The sequence below is a fragment of the Homo sapiens genome, chromosome 3 (genome assembly GCF_000001405.40).
Source record: "Homo sapiens chromosome 3, GRCh38.p14 Primary Assembly".
NCBI lineage: Eukaryota > Metazoa > Chordata > Mammalia > Primates > Hominidae > Homo > Homo sapiens.
Window position 1 is genome coordinate 130749405 of NC_000003.12, and position 14684 is coordinate 130764088.

The window sequence follows — 14684 nt, forward strand, 5'->3', positions numbered from 1 at the left end:
TTACGGTTTCATTTTGTGCTCTCAAATTTCTGAAGTATAGCTACAACTTTATTTTTTTCTAGAGAGTTACTCAGTTATCTAAAAATGTTGAGTAATATATTTCCCCCCACCTAGTTGAAATGTCAAATTTACCATATAACAGATTTCCTATATATATCTGGGTCTTCTGCTGGACTTTCTTTTCTGTCCATTGAGGTACTATTTAATTCATCTACCAGTACTTTTAAAATAATTGTATGATGTTTTAATGTCTGACATGGCTAGTCCTAGAGTAGTCTTTTTTAAATGAAATTATAATCATAAGACATCTATGCCTACATCCTTCTAGAAGCTCCTCCTCATTTTTAGGTTAACATTAAAAATCCATATCTTGGCCCACAAAACCTTGCATGATCTGACCCCTGCCCACCTGCTGCACTGTAGTTGACATTACTCACTGTCCCTCTCAGCTCCCACACTGGCTTTCTCTTTGTTTCTATCCTGTTCTAATTTGTCAAACCTTTTCCTACTGCTCGTCCTTCACATTTACTCTTTATTCTGCTTAGAACACTGTTTCCCCTATTCTTTAGCCAAAATCTTTTTATCCTTCAAGTCCCAGATTAGGTGCCATCACCTCATGCAATTCTTCACTGACTGCCCCCCATTATATACTTTCATGGACCTTCTACTTTTCCTTCACAGTGCTTATTATTATTGAATTCTTTTGAGTTTGAGGGATAACTATTTGCTTATTGTCTGTTTTACCACTAGACCGTAAACTCCACAACAACAGTGATTGTGTGATTCTTACTCACGAGGGTGTCTTCAACACCTAGAACCATACCTAACAGATGATAGACATTCAACTGGTATTTTTTGAATCAATAAATGTGGACTTTGTGAGATTTGTGATCATTAGGGCCAAGGTCAGGAGTCCCAGGACTGGGAACATCTAAAATATATACATAAAATCAGTGGAAGCACTCAGTTAATTACCAGATAATATTTTTTTAAAGAGTAAGCTTATATTTCAGACTCTGAATACCACGTATGTAAGTGCTTTAGATATCTCTCCAATAGAGAAATAATGGCATGGAAATATGGTAAATATGTCTCAATTTAGATTATTTCTGCTTTTCCCAACATGTATTTTTCCCCAACATTACATTTTGTGAAATAACTTGTGGGTTTTTTCAATGCCTTCTATACTCACTACATATGGTTTTCTTTTCTTTTTTTTTCCAATTCTTCGTTTTCTTTTTTCTTCCTTTCCTTCTCATTCTTTCTTCCTTCTTTCGTTTCTTCTATTGTTAAACAGCAATCATGACTGTCCATGGAGAATTATTTAAAGAAATCTCACCTATTTCTTTTCAAAGCAAATAAAAGATAAAATTTACTTGCTGCTGTTGAAGTCAAACTAAGAAAGAGCCAGCAAACACTAGACCATCCTCTAGCCAGTGTCCTTGCAGCTGCATTTTGGCAGTGATGGCTAACTGTCCCCTTCCACAGAAAATAGATGTTTCTGGGAAGTGCCTGAACTATAGGAACCATATTTTTCAGTCCCACGCCACTGTTTGCATCTAAGTGGAGCCATTTTACTAGCTTTCACTATGAAGTTCAGGTGGAAATTTTGTGTTTCATTTCTAGTACACAATAGTTAAGAGGTGAATGATTTCCACTTTCTTTCCTCTTTAACCTGGTTGCAGAAGACTTAAAGGCCCTAGTTAATGCCAGAGCCACAAGATGATAGGAGCCTGTGTCCCCGAATCACAGCCTGGAGAAAGACCCTTGCTTAGCAGGCACACTCACATAGAACTTTTACATACGCAAAAGTATACCCCATTATAAGCCAGCAAAATCTCATAATTTATTAATTATAGCAGTTAGCCTTGCCTTTATAAATACATTCATCTGCCTGATCTCTGTTCATTTCCTCCCTCTCCTGGGCTGCTTACTCCACCAGTGCACTTGCAGTCCTGTGAGATGTCCACGTGAGCTCTGCTATCCTTGCATCCTAAGGGAAAAAATAAGGCAAGGGGGAAGGATCCCTAATGTAAACAGCTCCTTCAAGTTAATAGTAAATATTTTATCTTCTTATACAAGAATGCCAGCTAATACATGCAAAATAAATTATAAGAAATTACCATTTTGTAACCTGCAGTGCAATAATTGATTTCTACATGGATTGTCAATGGGTTCTAAAATCACTGGGTAAAAGTTGTAGAACAACAAGATAGTCTCATGGTACCCAAGGAATACCTACAGATTATTTTCTATGTTAAAAAGGAATGAAAATGAACTTTTTATAGTGGAAAACCTTTTCATAACCCCTTTATCCAAGTGATCAAAGTTAGTATCATTAATAGTAGGACACAGATATTATGAGGCTCCTGATATAATGCAATGGGAAATATATACTGTCACCCAGGAAGCATTCTTGCCAAGAATATTTTTGGTTTTTTTCTTTTCTTTCTTTTTTTTTTTTTTTTTTTTTTTTTTGGACAGTCTTGCTCTGTTGCCCAGGCTGGAGTGCAGTAACATGATCTCAAGCTCACTGTAACTTTTGCCTCCCGGGTTCAAGCAATTATTGTGCCTCAGCCTCCCAAGTAGCTGGGATTACAGGTGCATGCCACCATGCCTGGCTGATTTTTGTATTTTTAGTAGAGATGGGGGTTACACCATGTTGACCAGACTGGTCTTGAACTCCTGATCTCAAGTGATCCACCCACCTCAGCCTCCCAAAGTGCTAGGACTACAGGTGTGAGTCACCTCACCCGGCTGCCAAGAATGTGTAACCTGAATTCAATCAAGCCCCTAGACCTCACTGCTCAATATGATAGCCACTAGTTACATTTGACTATTGAGTTCTTGAAATATGGCTACTACAAATTGAGATGTGCTATTAGTACAGAAAACATACAGATTTTAGAGAACTTAGTACAAAAAAATGAAAAAATCTCAATATATTTTTGATAAGTATTATATGTTGGAATCATATTTTAGATATATTGGGTTAAGGAAATATTTAATTAAAATGAATCTTTCTTTTTACTTTTTTTTTTGAAACGGAGCCTCGCTTTGTCGCCCAGGCTGGAGTGCAGTAGTGGGATCTTGGCTCACTGCAAGCTCCGCTCCTGGGTTCACGCCATTCTCCTGCCTCAGCTGGAGCTACAGGTGCCCGCCACCACACCCGGCTAATTTTTTGTATTTTTAGTAGGGACGGGGTTTCACCATGTTAGCCAGGATAGCCTCGATCTCCTGACCTCATGATCCGCCCACTTTGGCCTCCCAAAGTGCTGGGATTACAGGTGTGAGCCACCGCTCCCGGCCTCTTTTTACTTTTTAAAATGTGATTACTAATTTAAAATTACATATGTGGCTTATGTTATGTTTTTATTAGACAACCCCACTCTAGAACCAATTTCCAGCCTATAAAAAATAAAAGGAATAGAAAAATTAATTTAGCAATACCATCAGGAAACAATCAGACAGATCCAGAAAATGGAATATTAGCCTGGATTCTTCAAAGAGTCAATACCATGAAAAATATGGATGGACTTTTCTAAATTAAAAGATTCTAAAGAGACATGAAATTTAAATGCAATGTGTGAGCTTCAACTGGATCCAGGATTAGAAACAGCTACAAAAAACATTTCATGCATAATTGAAGAAATGTGAATATAGATTGAATATTTCAGAGAGAAACAAAGTGGCAGAAATGTTTTTAAAAGTTGGTAATTATTTCATTGCTATCACTTCTCTGGGTCTTATTTAAAAACACCTAAGCTGCCTGGCCTAAAGCTCTTTCACCATTACATATGAAAAAATTGGCAGACAAAGGATAGGGAGAACTAGATTCCAATTTTCTTGGAATGTATAATCTTGGGTAAAACTGTTCTTGAATAAATGGAAATGAAAGGGCTAACGTTTTTTAAAGAAGATGATTAGTCAAAAAAATCAAAGGATTTCATTGATAATAAGTGTTATGGAGAAAAAGTACAGGGTCCACGAGAATATATAATAAGGGGCAGTCAGGGAAGACATGCCCATGATATGGGCATTTAATCTGGAATGTAAGAGATGAACAGGTTTTGGCTAAATAAAGAACAATGGGAATAGTGTTGTAAGCGAAAGGAAGAGTAAAGGTAAAGGACTAGCAGTGGGGAGAAGTTTGACAAGTTAGGAACAAAGAGTAGGCCACTGTGGGGGATTGAAGGGGCAGTGAGTGAGATGCTGGCTGCAGAGGAGGAGGTGGGCAAACAGAATACATATATCCAAGCCATTCCTCTATCTTCCACTATTATCCACTTCTAATCCTTCACCACTTCTCTTCCACAAAAGATTTGAAGTGATTTTACAAAATTAACTCAAATAAAAGGATGAAAAAATAAATAATAAATATTCATTCAAAAGGAGCAGAGAAATAGTACTTGGAATTAATAAATTAAACTTCAGTTAAATTTGGCCAGGCGTGGTGGCTTATGCCTGTAATCACAGCACTTTGGGAGGCCAAGGTGGGCAGATCACCTGAGGTCAGGAGTTTGAGACCAGCCTGGCCAACATAGTGAAACCCCATCTCTACTAAAAATACAAAAATTAGCCAGGCATGGTGGCAGGTGTCTGTAATCTCAGCTACTCAGGAGGTTGAGGCAGAAGAATCACTTGAACCTGGGAGGCAGAGGTTGCAGTTAGCCAAGATCACACCACTGCATTCTAGCCTGGCTGACAGAGTAAAACTCCGTCTCAAAAACAAACAAACAAACAAACAAACAAAAGTTAAATTATTAATTTAGCTTTGAAATTGTGGCAGCTAATCACAAAAGGTAAATTTGTGGCTTATGTAGTTCTCATTGTTCAGTAAAGGGGAATAAATTAGTTTATATGAAATGAAAAGCTTTTCTTTAGACCAAAATCCAGATAAGATTTTTTTTTCTTTGAATCTTTACAGTGAAGACATTTGTTAACATGTTAAACATCACGGGCAAAGTTTTTCTTTTTCTTTTTCTTTTTTTTTTTTTTTTTTTGAGGCAGGGTCTCACATCTGTCACCCAGGCTGGAATGGAGTGGCATGATCTTGGCTCACTGCAACCTCTGCCTCCTGGAATCAAGCAGTCCTCTTTCCTCAGCCTCCTGAGTAGCTGTGACCACAGGCCTGAGCCACTATGCCTGGCCAATTTTTAAAAATTTTTTTGTAGAATGGGGTTTCACTGTGTTGCCCAGGCTGGTCTTAAACTGCTGAGCTCAACCAATCTGCCCACCTTGGCCTCCCAAAATGTTGGGATTACAGGCATGAGCCACTGTGCCTGGCCAGGGCAAAGTTTTTCTTTTGAGTTAGGTAAGTGGTTTGGCAAATATGGTGCTCACTACAAATATGGTGCTCACTACTTGAGATCAATTCAATAATATGTTTATAACATCTTCTGTTTTTCTAGGTACTTCATCTCAATTTAAAATTTCTCCTTAAGTGACTTTTTCCAGTTCTGTGGATTTAAATATCATCAGTATGCTGATAATACTGTTTTTCCCCTCTCAAACCTTTACCTGGTCACTGAACTCATGTATCCAATATCTATTTGACCTTTACATTTGAACATGTAATATTACTTTTTTTTGAGAGAGAGAGAAAGAGTCTCGCTCTGTAGCTCAGGCTGGAGTGCAGTGGCACAGTCTCCATTCACTGCAACCTCCACCTCCCGGGTTCAAGCAATTCTCGTGCCTCAAACTCTTGAGTAGCTGGAATTACAGGCACCCACCACCACGCTTGGCTAATTTTTGTATTTTTAGTAGAGATAGAGTTTCGCCATCTTGGCCAGGCTGGTCTCAAACTCTTGACCTCAAGTGATCTGCACACCTCGGCCTTCCAAAGTGCTGGGATTACAGGCGTGAGCCACCGCGCCCGGCCAGAACATGTCATATTACCATGAAAAGTTAACCCTGGTATAGGGCATAAAATATGCCAGATATTAATTCATTTGAACTGCCCATCAATTCTGTGAAAAAACTGTCCCTGTTTTTCAGATAATAAAATGAAGGTGCAGAGAAGTATATGACTTTCCTAACATCACATTACTAATAAGTCAAAAGTGGTAACTGAGAAGCACAAAAGGCTGTTTTACAGTTAACTTTGTTTTCATAAATAGAAGGCATACACTCTAATGATATAAAGTATAATATACTAAAAATAGCAGTAACATAGTCGTTTATTGTCATTACCAAGTATTCTGTATTGTGCATAGTTGTATGTGCTAGACTGTTATATGACTGGCAATGCAGGTTATTTTGCACCAGCATCACCACAAACAGGTGAGCAATAGAAATTTTTCAGCTCCATTATAATCTTATGGGACGTTGTATATGTGGTCCATCATTGAACACATTTTTATGCGGCCATTGGCGGTACTTGTTTTTCCAGTTTTCCTTACACTGAGGCACAGCCATGCCTTATGTTTTGTCCAATGAGATACAAGGAGAAATCTGCTGGCACCACCCATTTCCCCTCTGACTTTCTTCCAGCCTTGAATACAGATGCATTACTCAGAGCTGCAGTAGCTATAATATGACCACGATTCAAGAGGCATGAGGAAAAGGTAAAGAGAGTAACAGAAATGCTGGCCCTAGGCCAGGCAAGGTGGCTCACCTGTAATCCCAGCACTTTGGGAGGCCGAGGTGGGCAGATCATCTGAGGTCAGGAGTTCGAAACCAGCCTGACCAACATGGAGAAACCCCCATCTCTACTCAAAATACAAAATTAGTCGGGCGTGGTGACACGTGCCTGTAATCCCAGCTACTCAGGAGGCTGAGGCAGGAGAATTGCTTGAAACTGGGAGGCGGAGGTTGCAGTGAGCCAAGATCACACCATTGCACTCCAGCCTGGGCAACAAGAGCCAAATTCTGTCTCAAACAAACAAACAAAAAGAAATAAATAAATGCTGGCCCTGATAATAGTCAAGCCTCTGAACCCACAGCCCTGATCTCCAAACATCTTATTACATGGGAAAAAGAAACATTTGTTGAAGTCAGTGTTGGTTAGATTTTCTGTATTTGTAACCAAAGATTACACTACTGATAAAGTAGTATAAAAAGTTGACTAATTTATCTTGTTCTAGAACTTTGAAGTCACTTAATTCCAGGGGATGTCACTGTGCAGAGTTTGCAGTTATACTGGAGATGGCTTTTTTATTATAGTCTGACCTTTACGGGTCTCTTGTTTGTAGCAGGTGGGTATGCCCATGTGGCTTGGAAAATAAAACCAAATCCATGGCCTTTAGTTCATGTGTTTCTAGCAGCTGAATGTGGTTTGCTTGTAGGAATGAAATGGCCCTAAAATGTTAATTGATTCAGTTTGACAGTGCTTGCCATATCATAAATCAATATGATGTTTTGTGCACTAGTGATAAAGTAGTGGTATGGGAGAAGGACCTGGTAGTTATGGGATGAGTCTGGTTGTTTTTAGTCATTTAGTTTTTTTTTTTAATGGAACTCGGGAAGACAGAGATTCTTTCTCCTTTTGGAATGCTTGTATGTTGTGGAGAAGGACAGGGTAAAATCAGTATTATTGGCCAATCTTAATCCTAATCAATAATATTAGACTCTGCTTATTTAAAAAATTACATCTATATTATATACATATTATATATACACACATATTTGAGATCTGATTCAAACTATATATTTTAGCTATATATTGCTGTATAAGAAATTACTCTAAAACTTAGTAGTTGAAAGTAATTTAAAAAATTTATTGTCCATCTATTTCTGTGGATCTGGAATTAGACAGGGACAGCTTGCCTCTGCTCCATGATTTCTGGGTCCTTAGCTGAAGCCTTAAAGACTAGAGGTTGGAATTATCTGGAGGCCCTCTTATTCATATGTCTAGAGGTCAGTGCTGGCTGTGGTGGAGGCCTAGCTGGGATTGTTGGCCAGAATACTCACACATAATCTCTTCCTGTGACCTAGGCTTCCTCACAACATTCTGGATGGGTTCCTAGGACAAGCATCCAGAGAGAGAGACATCCAGGTAGAAGCCGTGTTGCCTTTTATAACCTAGCTTCAGTGATAGACCTTATATTCAGTGAGACAGTTACAAAGTTACAACCTGGTTCAAGGGAAAGGAGCATAGATACCCTCTCCCCGACACACACACACACCTTTCAATTGATGCATGTCAAGGTCACATTATAGGAAAAGCAAGCAAGATGATATATATACATATATGTTATATGTATATGAAATTATATATATTTATCATATATATCTCATATATATATATGTTGAAGCAGTCATCTTTGAAAAACACAATCTGTAATACTATACCATTATCTCATCTCTTGAATGAACAGCCATGCCATATATACAAGTGTTTTGATTTTATTGGCAATGTCTAGAGACATTTTTGATTGTCATATGGGGGATGGGTAGTATTTGCTACTGGCATCTAGCCTTAGGGGCCAGGGATGGTGCTAAACATTCTACAATTCATAGAAAAGCAACACACACACACCCACACCCACACACACCCACACCCACACACACCCACACCCACACACACCCACACCCACACCCACACACACCCACACCCACACACACACGCACACACCCACACACACACACACACACACACATACAGAGAGAGAATTATCGGTAACAGAGGCTGAGAAATCCTGTCTTATAATTTTAAGACTCTACAAGTATTTAGAATACTTAAACTGTAGGGGGAGGAACCAGAATTATCGGTAACATAATAGAGGTTGAGAAATCCTGCCTTATAATATTAACACTCTACAAGTATTTAGAATAATTAAACCGTAAGGGGAGGAACCTATAGAAAACATCAACTTCCTACAAGTCTTCTAACTATAAGATTTTATTTGCAATGTGGTATTTATATATGGCATGGTCTACAAATAGCAAAGATCATTTCCTAGGCAAATTTTCATTTCGTATATAATATGCTGAATGTCAATTCTCGGTGAACAAAAGAGTTTATCAATATACATAATCCATGATTTTTACCTATCCTACATTTCCACACTTTGAAGGCATTTTGCCATCGTCTTTTTTTACCCTTGTGTGGGTAACTTATTTGTGTACTACTTGGAAGAGTATTTGTCTTAAAAATTGCTTTATGTTAGTTTTGACCATCCTCTTACCTGTCCTGAAACCTAAGCTCAAAGAAAATAAACAATTTTAATGTAGAGCACAGAGATATCAATATAATTTCCTTAGGAAGTCTTGGATGATTCTCTCTTTTATTAAATGTTATACATGCTATATAACCCTGTCTTTGCTGCTTCTCCTTTTTCATATTGGTCATTCACTAAGCACAAGAAGACATCTAATTTTGAAGAGCTGGCTTTCTAGTAAAGATGAAGCTGAAGGGTTTTCCCCTCCCCTCCACAGCATGTTCCACTGGGTGCACACAAAGCAATTACAACTCATGTCAGCCCTTTTCCATGTGATAGCATCAGCAATTTTGCCCAGGGCTTCTTTTCTGATGAACAGTAGCAGAAATAATGGCCTAATTCACTAAAAACAAAGCAAAACAAAAAACATTATCCCTGTTGCTTTCTCTAAAACAATGCGATATTAACCAAAGTCCTTCCTAATTAAAACAAAGCTATCCAATTATGCATTTTAATACTGTGAGGATTTTTAACAATATCAAAGTGAAAAAGATTCATTAGAAACATATTAAAAACTAGGCCATGCGTGGGTGGCTCACGCCTGTAATTCCAGCACTTTGGGAGGCTGAGGTGGGCGGATCACTTGAGGCCAGGAGTTTGACACCAGCCAGAGCAACATGGTGAAACCCCATCTCTACTATAAAAAAATACAAAGTTAGCCAGGCGTGGTGGCCCCCACCTGTAGTCCCAACTACTTGGGAGCTGAGGCAGGCGAATCCTTTGAACCTGGGAGGCAGAGGTTGCAGTGAGCCAAGATCACACCACGGTACTCCAGCCTGGGCAACAGAGTGAGACTGTGTCTCAAAAAAAAAAAAAAAAAAGAAAGAAAAAAGAAACAAAGAAAAGAAAAAGAAACATATTTAAAAATGAGGAATTAACCTGAGCTCAGACAGAAACAAATTCTGGTCTATTTGAATTTCTTGTGTTTTAAATATATTTCCAAGTTATTTATGGATCCCAGGAGAGTCTACTTTGTCTTTCAGTGCTGGTACTATCACAATTTGACATATCCTCAAGCCTTTAAATGTAATTTTAGGAGAGATGCTTTAAATATCCTGTTAACTTCAGGAAATAGTGGCGCCATGTTTATTTCAACGCGAGGAACAATGAATTCTTTCTTGAAGTACATTTCTGAATTTCTCTGGGGTTCAATTTATTTTCCACATACCCGCCAAAATAGGAATAATCATATCTCTCTACATTAAAGAATACAAGATAAAAGACCTTGTAACATTTTATCATGTTTAAAATAAAGCAGTAACAATAAATAGTTATGCAACAAGAAAACAACTTTTTATCCTAGGGGCAGAAAGAGGGCAAAAAGTTTCTGAAGAATAGAATTCCACTAGAGGGCAGTGCACCCCAGTGGAGGCTCAGAGCAAATGTGCACAGGACGTCTGATTAAGAAGTTATGTGGCAAACACGGAAAGTGTTTGTGATATAATATTACTATAAATAAAACAGCTACAGGAATTTTTTTACATGACTTCAGATGCTCCTTGAAAATCACATATGTTTGTGGTCAAATATCGTGCAGTATTTGAGAACATGATCTTAGACCTGGGGTCATTCCTCTGTGCACCACTGTCCTTGGATGAGTTGTTTAAAATCTCTTGAGTCTCAGTTTCTTTATCTGTAAAGCCAGAGGCAATTACAGATACCACATAGGACTGTTGTGAGCATTAACAGGGATCATATATATATAAAAGTCCAGCATGGAACCAGGCATATAATATTGCTCAGCAAAAAAAATCACAGGATGATGATGACAAAAAATACTAAAAAGGAAAATAAAATAATTTTAATTATTGGAGTAGGTTGTTTAGAGATTTATTGCATAGTATATCTTATTTACATTTACAATGGAGAGCTTGTGATGGAATATATATTTTTATTGACTGTAAATGAAATTATTCTCATCGATGAGAGAATAATTCTATTATTCTCTTCAGCATTTTAAACTCCAGAGAGAAAAATTTTCATGTAGCTACAAAATGTTATTTTTCTCATTTTAATGTCTAGAATATCATTATCACATTTTTGCTATTTCTTTTCATTTCCTAAATGAATAAACTGTCAACACCCAAAGGAAAAAAAATGGAATATACAAATAAGTTATCTCTGAATCCTTTTAAATATTATTCCTCACAAGTTATGTAGCCTTGGGATAGTATAGTATATTTCTCTTAGAACTCTCAGTGTAAGAAAATTTCATCTGATGAAAAATAGAAATATGTCAAATATGACAATTACTCTTTACAAAATGATTGTTTAAATATGAGTTCCTGTAATCATTTAGGAATTTCTTTACAAAATAACTACATGTTACAGAGGCAACAGGGCATTGTAACTTAAGGCTAAAATACTCCATCACTGACAATGAAAGGTCATTCAGAAATAAAGATTGAATGTCTCTGAAATTATAGTATGAATCAAAGTGGAAATATTTAATTTATAAAATTTTGATTTATACATGTCCCCTCTGTTCTTAGCCTTTTAAAAGTAGCTGACTCACCCACCTATCATGTGAAAAAGATCAACTAAAAGCCAGCCCCAGGCAATAACTGTCATCACAGGCATTTGTCAAGATTACACCTACTATTCCTACATCATGGCTGCATCAGTGTTACCCAGATGACCGATATCACCATCATCACCAACATCTCCACTATAACTACTACTTCCTCTGACTATATAAACTTATTGTTCACTTTTTTCATCTCCCTATTTATTTGACCTCACCTGGCCAGTTAAGAGAGGAAATTGGTTAGGAATTTCCTGTACCTACTTGAATTCTAACCTCAGATGTAAATGACAACACATTCTTATGAAACTAAGGGTGGCAGTTACCCAAATCCGTGTCTAAACCAAGGATAGATTCTTGGAACATCAGGCTTTTGATAACCACTAGGAAATATCATCAGACCAGGAAGCTGAGGAGCTGTCCCCCTAACCCACCTGCCCATCACAAATGAGCTCTAATGGAAGATGGCTGAATAGAAGGCTCCACACTGATTGTCCCCCACAACAGGAACACCAAACTTAACAACTATCTACACCCAAAAAGCACCTTCCTAAGAACCAAAAATCAGGCGAGCACTCACGGTACCACGTTTGAACTTCATATCACTGAAAGAGGCATTGAAGAGGGTAGTAAAGACAGTCTTGAATCGCCGATGCCACTCCTCCCCCATCCCCCTGGCAGTGGCTGCATGGTACAGAGAAAGAATCTGTGCACTTGCAAGAGAGAAAGAGCAGCGACTGTGAGACTTTGCATTCAACCCAGTGCTGTCCTATCACAGCAGAAAGCAAAACCCAGCTGAAGTCAGCCAGTGTGTGCTGAAGGAGGGAGCATCTAGATGAGCCCTAGCCAGAGGGAAATTACCCATTCCCGTGGTCAGAACTTGAGTTTCAGCAAGCCTCATCACCACGGGCTAAAGTGCTCTGGGGCCCTAATAAACTTGAAAGACAGTCTAGGCCACAAGGACTGCAACCCTTAGGAGAGTAATAGTGCTGAGCTGGTTTCGTAACCAGTGGACTTGAGGGGTACACCACCTACTAAGAAGCCAGCCGAAGTGGCTAAGAGAGTGCTTGTGCTATTCCTCCCATAAACTCAGGCAGCACTGCTCACGTTCCAAAAGAGACTCCTTCCTTCTGCTTGAGGAGAAAAGAGGGGAGAGTAAAGAGGACTTTGTCGTGCATATTGGGCCAGCTCAGCCACAGTAGGATAGGGCACTGGTAAGAGTCATAAGGCCCCCATTCCAGGCCCTAGCTCCCAGACAACATGTTGAGACACACCCTGGGCAAGAAGGGAACCCACTGCCTTGAAGGGAAGGGCCCAGTCCTGGCAGGATCCATCACCTTCTAGCTAAGCAGCCCTTCAGCCCTAAATAACCAACAGTGATACCCAGGTAGTATACCAGGGGCCTTGAGTAAGACTCTGAGATGAGCTGGATTCAGGTGAGACCCAGCACATTCCCAACTGTAGTGGCTACGGTGAGAGACTCTTCCTGCTTGAGAAAAACAGAAAGAAAACTAAAGGGGGCTTAGTTTTGCACATTAGGTACCAGCTCGGCCACAGTCAGGTAGAGTACCAAGTAGTCTCTTGGGGTTCCCAATTATAGGCCTTGGCTCTTGGATGGCATTTCTGGACCCACCCTGGACCACTGGAGAGCACATTTCCCTTAAGGGTGAGTCCTAGGCCTGGCAGCATTTACCACAAACTGACTGAATAGTGCTTGGACCATAAGTGAACATCAGCAGTAGCCCGTTAGTACTCCCAGTGGGCCTGTGGTGGTAGTGGCTACAGGGTGAGGCTCCTTTGCCTATGGAAAGGGAAGGGAAGAGTAGGAAAGGCTGTGTCTCATGGTTTGAGTTCCAACTCAGCTGCAATATAATAGAACACTGGGTACATTTCTAAGGTTTTCGACTCTAGTCCCTAGCTCCTGCATGGAATCTCTGTGTGCACCCTAAGCCTGCGGGAACTTGCTGTCATGAAGGGAAGGACACAAGCCTGGCTGACTTTGCCACCTGCTAATGGTAGAGCCCTAGGGCTGTGAGCAAACATAAGTGGTAGCCAAGTAGTTACAGTGGGCTTTGGCAAAATCCAGTGCTGTGCTGGCTTTAGATATGACCCAGTGCAGTCCTAGTGGTGAAGGCCACAGGGGTGCTTGTGTCACTCCACCCGCAGTTACAGGTGGCTTAGCACACAGAGGGAGACTCTGTTAGGGAGAAAGTAAGGAAAGAGAACAAAAGTCTCTGCTTGGTGATCCAGAGAATTCTTCTGGATTTTATCCAATACCACTAAGGCAATACCTCTACAATCTATAAGAACTACAATATTACTGAGCGTGGGGTGACCCCTAATTCAGATACAGATTAGATCACAACACCCACATCCTTTCAAACACCTGGAAAGCCTTCCCAAGGAGGACAGGTACAAACATTCCCAGACTGTGAAGGCTACAATAAATACTGGACTCTTCAATGCCCAGACACTGATGAACATCCACAAGCATCAAGAGCATGCAAAAAAACATGACCTCACCAAACGAACTAAATAAGGCACCAGGGACAAATCCAGGAGAAACAGAGATATGTGACCTTTCAGACAGAGAATTCAAAGAAATTCAAGATAACACAGAGAAGGAATTCAGAATTCTATCAGATAAATTTAGCAAACATTGAATTAAAAAGAATCAAGAAGAAATTCTGGAGTTGAAATATACACTTGACATACTGAAAAGGGCATCAGAGTCTTTTAATAGCCGCATTGATCAAGTAGAATTAGTGAGCTTGAAGACAGGCTACTTGAAAATATACAGTCAGAAGAGACAAAAGAAAAAAGAGTAAAAAAAGAATAAAGCACACCAACAAGATCTAGAAAATAGCCTCAAAGGGGCAAATCCAAGAATCATTGGCCTTAAAGAGTAGGTAGAGAAATAGATAGGAGTAGAAAGTTTATTCAAAGGGATAATATCTTGGAACTTCTCAAGTCTAGAGAAAGATATCAACATTCAATAC

The 14684-nt window shown here is 39.2% G+C and overlaps 1 long non-coding RNA gene across 1 annotated transcript in view; it reads right to left on the minus strand.

Annotated features, from left to right (window-relative positions):
- Positions 1-1898: 1898 nt before the first annotated feature.
- LOC107986023 (uncharacterized) overlaps positions 1899-14684 on the minus strand; it is a 142619-nt gene continuing 129833 nt past the window's right edge. Inside the window, exon 3 of the long non-coding RNA XR_001740492.2 lies at positions 1899-1993. This is a non-coding gene — a long non-coding RNA (uncharacterized LOC107986023). The remainder of the gene's footprint in view (positions 1994-14684) is intronic.